We start from the raw sequence: 10,669 nt of genomic DNA on the forward strand, positions 1-10,669 counted from the left end.
CATTTTTTCAGGCTCTTAGTATTCAGTGAAACCTTTATATCCCTTACAGTCCTCAGTCTTCAGGAAAGGTAGAACAGACTAATGGTCTTTTAAAAACACACCTCACCAAGCTCAGCCACCAACTTAAAAAGGACTGGACAATACTTTTACCACTTTCCCTTCTCAGAATTCAGGCCTGTCCTCGGACTGCTACAAGGTACAGCCCATTTGAGATCCTGTATAGACGCTCCTTTTTATTAGGCCCCAGTCTCATTTCAGACACCAGACCAACTTGGACTGTGCCCCAAAACACTTGTCATCCCTACTATCTTCTGTCTAGTCATACTCCTATTCACCATTCTCAACTACTCATACATGCTCTTGTTTACACCGTCAGTTTACACTGTTTCTCCAAGCCATTACAGCTGATATCTCCTGGTGCTATCCCCAAACTGCCACTCTTAACTCTTGAAGTAAATGAATAATCTTTGCTGGCAGGACTATGCTGAATATCCTTAGGCACTCTCTAATTAGATGTCCTGGGTCCTCCCAATTCTTAGACCTTTAATACCTGTTTTCCTCCTTCTCTTATTCCGTTTAGTTTTTCAATTCATACAAAACCGTATCCAGGCCATCACCAATAATTCTAAATGACAAATGTTTCTTCTAACAGTCCGACAATATCACCCCTTTCCACAAAATCTTCCTTCAGCTTAATCTCTCCCACTCTCGGTTCCCACGCCACCCCTAATCCCACTCGAAGCAGCCCTGAGAAACATCGCCCATTATCTCTCCAAACCATCCCCCAAAATTTTCGCCATCCAAACACTTTACCACTATTTTGTTTTATTTTTCTTATTAATATAAGAAGGCAGGAATGTCAGGCCTCTGAGCCCAAGCTAAGCCATCATATCCCCTGTGACCGGCACATACACATCCAGATGGCCGGTTCCTGCCTTAACAGATGACATTCCACCAAAAAAGAAATGAAAATGGCCTATTCCTGCCTTAACTGATGACATTATCTTGTGAAATTCCTTCTCCTGGCTCATCCTGGCTCAAAAGCTCCCCGACTGAGCACCTTGTGACCCCCACTCCTGCCCGCCAGAGAACAATACCCCTTTGACTGTAATTTTCCTTTACCTACCCAAATCTTATAAAACGGCCCCACCCCTATCTCCCTTCTCTGACTCTCTTTTTGGACTCAGCCCGCCTGCACCCAGGTGGTTAAAAAGCTTTATTGCTCACACAAAGCCTGTTTGGTGGTCTCTTCACATGGATGCGCATGAAGTTCGTCATTTTGGCGAATTACTGGAAGATGGTGGTTCTGGCTGAAAGGCAAAAAAAACAAAAACATAATTTTCTGTTCATTGAGAACATAGTTAAGAATATAGCTGTTAAATCATTCTTACTAATTGGATATTTTAATTTGCAATGTCTTATATTCTTATTTAAATTTTGAGAACTTGAAACTGGTATATCAATTTTCTTTTCTTTTTTTTTTTTTTTTTAGATTGAGTCTCACTCTGTCACCCAGGCTGGAGTGCAGTTGCACAACCTCGGCTCACTGCGACCTCTGCCTCCTGGTTGAAGCGATTCTCTTGCCTCAGCCTACCGAGTAGAGTAGCTGACACTACAGGCATGCGCCACCATGCCCAGCTAATTTTTGTATTTTTAGTAGAGATGAGGTTTCACCATGTTGACCAGGCTGGTCTTGAACTCCTGACCTCAGGGGATCTGCCTACCTCGGCCTCCCAAAGTGCTGTAATTACAGGTCTGAGCCACTGCACTCAGCAGATCAATTCTGACAGATATGTTACAGTTTGCTACAATTGCACATTTGTCCTCCCTTTTTCGTTTTCTCAAAGCATTCCTAACAGTATTTCCTTTATGTATTTTGGCTCTATGTCACTTGGGGCATGAAGGTTTGTAACTTTTATCTTCTTGGAGGATCCTACTTTTTCTCAATGAACCCTTCTTAGTTCAATTCTTTGCTTTTTAATTTTTATATGTTTAACTAAATATTGTAACACATTTGTTTTTTGTTAGTCTTTACCTAACAAAATAACTTTGTCCTTCCTTTTATTTTAACTTTCTGTTTTGTTTTGCTTTTATGTAACCCTTTTGGAAAGCCAGTATGGACTTTCATTATGTACATTTTATTCTTCCTGCTTATAGAATGCCACCTCCTCTTTACATCTGTACAAAGTGGCCTTGAAAAGCAGGGAAATTAGAAAAGAGAAGAAGAAACAAATTGGCATAAGTAAGAGTTTGTCTTTTCACAAGAAATTAGAGAAGTTTTAAGTGGCCCATTTGTCTTTATTTCAAAAGGGCTGCTAAGTCCATTTACAATTTGGACAATTGGGCTGAGGCAAAGACATCCTGGAAAGAGACCTAATCTAAAGAACTTTTCAAGAGCTGTGCTCAGTAGGCACGCATCAGGCTGTGGGAAGAGGCCTGGGCAGCCTCCCAACTTCCCTCCCTTCTGCCTTGAAGACCAGAAACCAGAAGTGAGAATAAGCAGGTTAAAAAAAAAAAAGTAAAGGGAATGTGGGGAGAGCCTGAAGTCAGAGTAAGAATACAAAGGAGGTCAAGGAAAGAAGAGGTTTAGACAAAAAACAAAAAACAAAAAACAAACAAACAAACAAGAAAGAAAGAAAAGAAAGACGGCCAGGCACGGTGCCTCACGCTTGTAATCCTGCCTGGCCAATATGGTGAAACCCTGCCTCTACAAAAAATACAAAAATTAGCTGGGCGTGGTGGCACATGCCTGCAATTAATACCAGTTCTCCATTTTAGGGCTCTGACAAGCTTCTGAAAGCCATATGGTTGTTGTTGAAGTCTCTCACAGAAAATACTAAAGTAAACCAGTTTGTTAGAATACTAAATAGTATTTAGTATTAGAATACCAGAGAGTATTTAGTATTAGAATACCAGAGAGTATTTAGTATTAGAATACCAGAGAGTATTTAGTATTAGAATACTAAAGAGTATTTAGTATTAGAATACTAAAGAATATTTCTTCTGGATGCCAGTGTCCAGTCACTTTCCATAATGCCAAATGGCCTCTCTACTAAAGAATATTTCTATGAAAGAAGTCTCTCATAGAAAATAGTAAAGTAAACCAGTGTATTAGAATCCCTCATTTTCCCTCATACTTCTTGTATGTGTGGTCCCATGTCCTCAGTTTCAGTTTGACAAAAGGCAGCCAGGAGTAAGTCAGGACTCTGGGCTTGGCCTCTTTGTTTTATTTGTACACCGGCAAAAAATTGCTGCTGAGTACAGATTCAAATACCTTTGTATGGTTGAGTGCTTTTTTTGTGTTCCTGGATGACTGAGGCCTATTTATTTTGGGAGGCATATTGTTATTCATTTCCATTAGAAAGTAGCAGAAAGAAGCCAGATCAATTTTGTCCCACAGAGGGGGAGCAATAAGTATTTCCAAAAAATATTTAGGAGGGAAGCTCAGTGATAAGCAGGAACATGTCAAGGAATATTGCATATTCTGTCTCCGGACGTTTGGAAGTGCTTAACGCCCAAGAAATCAGAAAAGCTTCTTGTGTGGTAAAGAAATGGCAATTTGAAAATAATCTATTTCTAAGTCTCAGTGTTGGTACCGTGAACCTACCAAGGGTCAGACATCTAAGTACAAAGGAAAGGGGAAATGAAAAATACAGAAGGAAAAGAACCCAATTTAGAAAAAAAGAGAGCCTATTCTGCTGAAGAATCACTGGACACAGATCTTGTATTAGGCAGCACACGTTTTCATTGAGAGTTGTTTGAATTACCAATAGGTTCCCAAGTGGAAGATCAGTTATAAACTGAGTCACATAAAACAAGAGATCTAAAGTAATGTGGTATACCCAATTTGTAGGGGATTGGCTTATGATTTCATTCTGAGTTTTAAATTTTTTACAGCCACTTTACTAAGCTAGAGAAACTGGTGGCTCCAGTGTGATTTTGTTTTTGAGCATTTCTTCAATACTCTCAACTGCGTGGTGATTAAAATAAATCTACCCCAAAAAAAGACAAAGTTCTCATGAATCCTAGACCAAAGGAACTTACATGAACTTCAAGCCAAAAGTCAGATGGATATATGACTCATAGCAATTCATGTGATTTCTGTGGACAATGACTGCCCAGTCTCTGACCACACTCCTCGAACGCTCCTCGAACAGTCTGTTCTCATGCTGCTGATAAAGACATACCTGATACTGGGTAATTTATAAAGAAAAAGAGGTTTAATGGACTCATAGTTCCACGTGGCTGGGGAGGCCTCACAATCATGGCAGAAGGCAAAAGCACATCTTTCATGGCAGCAGACAAGAGAGAACGAGAGCCAAGTGAAAGCAGAAAGCCCTTATAAAACCATTAGATCTCGTGAGGCTTGTTCACTACCATAAGTACAATATCGGGGAAACTGTCCCCATGATTCAGTTATCTCCCACTGGGTCCCTCCCACAAGTGGGAATTATGGGAGCTACAATTCAACTTGAGATTTGGGTGGGGACACAGCCAAACCATATCACTCTCCCTGAGATATACTTCTCCCTGTGCCAAGTATAAATCTGTTCAATTAAATTGAAACAGCAATCCTACTTTGAATAATCTATTCTATGGAAATAAAAGCACTAAGATTTAAGTCCAATAATGTTTACTGAAGCAAAGTTTATAATAGTAACAAGACTGGAAATAACCAAATAACCAATGGCCATGATTAGGAATGGTCAAATGAATGTTGGTACTTCTATTCTGTGGAATATTATGCAGCTATTTTAGAAGAGTTAGATCCTTACCTATTGATGGCAGTGTTGTGCATTTTACAGTTTTATAAGGTGAGAACAATTATTTCCCCCATTTTACTTTATAGATAAGAAACCTGAGTACAAAGATGGTTAAATAATTTGCCAAAGATACCAGAGCTAGTAAACAAGGACCCAGAATTTAAGCCCAATCAATTTGACTCTAGAACCTGTGCTTTTTATCCAGCTTACAAGTTTCAGAGAAATAGAAAGTAACGCAACATTCGAATAATAAACAACCCTCCAAATCATACAGTGTGTTTGTATAAATTTATATGACTGTGAAGAAAGGTGTGGAGAGATGCAACCAGATTATTAACATGGATTACCCTGGGGAGGCAGGTATGGGTGGGGACGAATGGAGTGGGAGAGCTTGTGAACTCTTTAAACATCTTTGCATTGTTCTCCAGGTTATAGACAGCACAAGTCTAATAGTTGTGTCTCTAGTCTAATTGATAAGGTTCTTTGTGCCCCACAATCTATTCCAGAATTCATTAATGCATCCCCAAAATATTTATTGAATATCTGCAATGAGGCCAGGAATAGTGATAGATGTAAGATATCTAGAAGAGCTTTACCCAAGTATGGAGATGGACAATAAAGTATGTGATAAGTGTTAGGACAGCAGTTTAAAAATGGGGGCATAGAGTTAACACAGGCAGGACTGAAGTATGGGGATAGCAACATTCTGGAACATTTCCCAAAAAAGTGGCACCAGACAGCTTTGGCTTGGCAAGCACCTATCATCACCTTGACTTGACTCATATTACCTCCTTTTCTTTCATTTGATCTTATTTAATTTCTTTTCAGTTTAGTTTCTGGCTTAGACAGGCAACAAGGTAAAGAGTCTGAGCTTTGGGGTCGGAAAGACCTGAGTTTGAAATAATTAACTAGTAAATTAATCTGTAATTTACTAGTTGTGAAGAACTTGGAACAAGGTGTGCTTATTTTCTCTAAACTTCCTATCCTTCATCTGTTAAAGGCTGATAATAATAACTACTTGTAGGCTAGGGTGAGTGTCCTGGGTTTTACTGCATTAAAACCCTTTCAAAATTTACAGGCTTAAAGCAACTACATTTTATGCATACATGTTGCTCATGAATCTGCAGGTTGGGTTGGGCTCAGTGGGGATAATTTACTCTTGTTATTCATACACAGCTTTAACTGGTATGGTTTGACTAGGGCTTGAGGATCCACTTCCCAAATGGTTTATTCTCAAAGCTAGCAAGTTGATACTCAGTCCTTTCCACATGGGTCTTTCGATGCTACTGCTTGGGCTTTTTACAATATGGTGGCTAGACTCTAAGAGCAAATGTTCCCCAAAATGGGAAATATGGGCTGCTAACGCTTTCCAGCCTGGGACCAAATAATACATGGACTCACTGTTGTATATGCCGTTGCTCAAAATAGTCACAGAGCCCATCCACCTTCAAGAGAAGTACACTGGAATATTTTGAGGAATACAACTGTATACAATCATGGCCAGAGAAATTTCCCAGGCAAAGAAATGAAGATGCTGGCAGTAGGAAGTTGGGTCTGCATGCACTGAAGAGTTAAGCTTGAGGGAACATGGACAGGGCACCGACATGGCACTACTGCCACCTGATCCATCCCAGAGTGTGAGCTCCTTCAGTTATAGAAATCTTGGACAGTGGGACAAAATAGGTGTTCAAGAAGTGATTCCAGAATGAATGAATGAATGAATGAATGAATGAATGAATGAATATAAGAGTATTCACCCTAAATATAAACAGAAAAGAAAACCTAGCACCTACCATGTCATTGAGCAAGGGTCAACAAACAATGATCAGGGGGCCAAATCTAGCTTACCACTTGCTTTTGTGAATAAAGTTTTATTTACAACAGTACCTATCTGTTTGTGTGTTATCTATGGCTGCTTGTATGTTACAATGGTAGAGTTGAATCATTGTGACAAAAACCTATGGCCCACAAAGCCAAAAATATTTATAGCAACCCTTTACTAATCCTTTACAATAAATGCTTGTAGACTCCTGACATAGAATATTGAAATCTGAGCAGTTTACATCCATATTTCTTATCATTTCTCCTTTATTTTCCTATTACTTTTGCCTTTTTTTCTTTTCTTTTTATTCATCTATTACTGTGTGCCCAAGGCTTAGGTATAGCTTAAGGGACAAGAAGAAATTTCACCCTAAGATCCAAAAAAAAAAAAAGAGTGATACCACTCTTATTCTAACAGATACAGCAACCACAATAGGGAAGAAGTGAACAGAGAAGGAAAAATCAGGGATGAAATGGAATTAATCAAATATGGTGTTGCTATTCAACAATTAGCTTGACTGCCCTTTTTGCAACAGGGCCTGACAGTGTCATATTTATACCACATTTGGTTGCCACTTGGCTAAGGAGCCTCAGCGGGGTACCAATTAGAGTTCTTAGTGGCAAACAATAGAAACACATTTTGGGCAATTGAGTCAGAAACTAATGTATTAAATGATATTTGGAAGCTTTCTTCATATCCAGGAAAGCTGAAGAAGCAGATCTAGAGGCTACGTAGCAAGAAACATCCAAAGTCCACAGAAGTGATCCCACATAGTCCACACTGCCCCCACTACTGGATAAGAAACTTAGCCAGTGGTAGTCTCATCACCCCTTCTGGACCTTTGACCTGGCTAAAGAAAACATCACTACTGCCTCTGGAAGGTGGAGGGGGCTCTCCCAGGATCAATCCCGATAATTGACTATGCACAGTCGCTGATTTCCTGACTCTTTGTGTTGCTAGTTACTGAGTCAAAGTCTGACTCCGAGCACTTGATTGCTGAGCTGTAGGTCAATGTTTGTGTTCTAGTTGTAAGGGAACCAGGGAAGGTGAGAATCTGGCTTCCAGAGTTGGAAGTATCTGTTCCCAACCCAGAAGATCCTGAACTTTTGAATTTTCCTTACTTTCTTAATGTTTTCATGTCCAGATTTTAGCAAGAGCTTTGAAAGGTGATTCAATGCTTAATTTTTTTATTCATCCTTAGCAATATTTACTAAGGGTGGGCTGCATGAAAGCAATAACCTATGCTTTGCTTGTGGCCACATATCTGGTCTGTGTCTGAGCATGGGCTCACCTCATCAACTACCACATATTAATGGAACACTTGTTGGCTGTGTTAAATTTGCCATTTCTCAACTAACTTTAAAAAGCTTCACTATTATATGAAGAAGAGAATAAGGATGTGAGATCAAGAAAAGGGGCTTTTTATTGTGTTTTTAATTTTTTTTTATTTGCTAAACAGTTGGAGGAAATACGAGCATGTTTTCCCACTCGTAGGAAAGACTCTGCATAGAGAGAAAGGTTGATGCTACATGGATAGAGGAGGAGCTATGGCTGGAGGCAAAGTATTCATGATATTATGATGGTACTATAGCCCAGGAACAAGGAATACCCATGTCATAGCTTGATATTCATCACTCTTCCCTACAGAATTCCCAATGGAGGTGTATTAGTCTGTTTTCACACTACCGATAAAAGCATACCTGAGACTGGGTAATTTATAAACAAAAAGAGGTTTAATGGACTCACAGCTCTATGCGGCTGGGGAGGCCTCTCAATCATGGCAGAAGGCAAAAGGTACATCTTACAGGGCAGAAGGCAAGAGAGAATAAGAACCAAGCAAAAGGGGTTTCCTCTTATAAAACCATCAGATCTCGTGAGACTTACTACCACAAGAACAGTATGGGGGAAACCACAACCATGATTCAATTATCTCCCACCCAGTCCCTCCCAGGACACATGGGAATTATGGGAGGTACAATTCAATATGAGATTTGGGATATCATAACAAGAGGGAACCAAATATGAAGAATAACCAGCAAAAGGGAAACCTATTATTCCTTCTTAAATCATTACACAGAATAGACAATGCAAGGCTTTCCCAAAACCTATGTTCAAAATCATGGCTAAGACCTGGAAACCTAAGTGAGACTTCCTGCTTCCTCACATGTAAGCAACACACTCAAGTGTATTTGCAAAGGAAGTATGGCCCATACCCCGGTTCACTTACATACATATTCTCATGGCATAGAAAAAAGCGAAGAGCAGTGTTTCACAATTGGCACTAATGACATTTTGGAGCAGATAATTCTTTGTTGGGGTAGGTGGGGAAGTACTGACCTGTTCTGTGTAGGATTTTCAGCAGCATACCTAGCTTCTACCCACTAAATGACAGTAGCACACCCACCTCTCCCAGTTGTGATAACCTAAAATATCTCTAGACGTTGACAAATGTCCCCTGGGGGCCAAAATCCCCCCGCGAAACTAGAGGAGAACAGAATGGTTGGCGGGTCTCTGGGAAGTAGATTCCACTTTGTTCTGAGGCAGGAAAGCAAGAGAATAGTTCCTTTGTGGGTGCATAGTTTTAGAATGCAGTACTTCTACCCACAAGTAAAAAGACCCTTGATGATGGCCGGGCACAGTGGCTCATGCTTATAATCCCAGCACTTTGGGAGGGCCATGGCGGGCAGATGACTTGAGGTCAGGAGTTCGAGACCAGCCTTGCCAATATGGCGAAACCCTGTGTCTACTAAAAATATAAAAATTAGCTGGCATGATGGTGCACGCCTATAATCCCAGCTACTTGGGAGGCTGAGGCAGGAGAATCGGGAGAATTGTTTGAACCTGGGAGGTGGAGGTTGCAGTGAGCCAAGATTGCAGCACTGCACTCCAGCCTCCAGCCTGGGTGACAGAGCAAGACTCCATCTCAAAAACAAAACAAAACAAAACAAAACAAAACAAAACAAAACAAAACACCACTTGATGAAAGCCCAGGGGGTCTTACCATGTTGACTAAAATCTCTATTCTTGGCTAGGCACGGTGGCTCATGCCTATAGTCCTAGCTACCCAGTAGGCTGAGGTGGGAGGATCCCTTGAGCCTAGGAGGTTGAGCCTGCAGTGAGCTCTTATGGTGTCACTGCACTCCAGCCTGGGTGACAGAGCAAGACCCTGTCTCTCTCTCTCTCTCTAAAAAAAATAAAAATAAAAAAATTTGAAGAAGAAGACCATGAAAAAACCCCTCCCTTTATCCTTCTGAGGGAACAGGTGGGCAGAGATAGCTAAAGAGTCCCCTCCACGTTCATCTTCATTTCCTATTGCCTCTCATCCCCCAGGGATGGCAAACAGATTAAGGTCCATGGACAGTGGGATATCCTCCACTCATACAGGGATAGGGTGAGGGTTCCTGGGACACTAAAATTAAGAAAGTCCCAGGCGGCTGGGCGTGGTGGCTCATGCCTGTAATCCCAGCACTTTGAGAAACCGAGGTGGGTGGATCACGAGGTCAGGAGTTTAAGACCAGCCTGGCCAACATGGTGAAACCCCATCTCTACTAAAAAAGTACAAAAATTAGCTGGGCGTGGTGCCGCATGCCTGTAATCCCAGCTACTTGGGAGTTTGAGGTAGGAGAATCTCTTGAACCCAGGAGACGGAGGTTGCAGTGAGCCAAGACCGCGTCACTGTACTCCAGCCTGGAGACAGAGCGAGACTCCATCTCAAAAAAAAAAAAAAAAAAAAAAAGGAAAAAGTCCCAGGCAAACAGGATCAGTTGGTCAGAGCCCTACAGTATTGTAAAGTAGCTTGGTTCCACCAGACTTGGAGAAATTTCCCCAATATTATACCTGGCTTCTACCCACTAGATGACATTATATTATGTCGTCTCTTATCCCTTAGAACCCTCCTAGAATCTGTTTAACTATTGCCCCCAGAAGTCCCTGAAGTGAGTCACAACAGTATATTAAGTTAACTTAAAGGTTGCAGATTATTTAAGGGAAAAAATTCACTCCTATTCTATTTTCTATTTCCTGTGCACAATCATGATGTTCAGACTGGCTCACTGGAGTTTATTCCACAAGCCTAAGTAATGCA

The sequence above is a fragment of the Homo sapiens genome, chromosome 9 (assembly GCF_000001405.40).
Source record: "Homo sapiens chromosome 9, GRCh38.p14 Primary Assembly".
NCBI classification, from domain to species: Eukaryota; Metazoa; Chordata; class Mammalia; order Primates; family Hominidae; genus Homo; species Homo sapiens.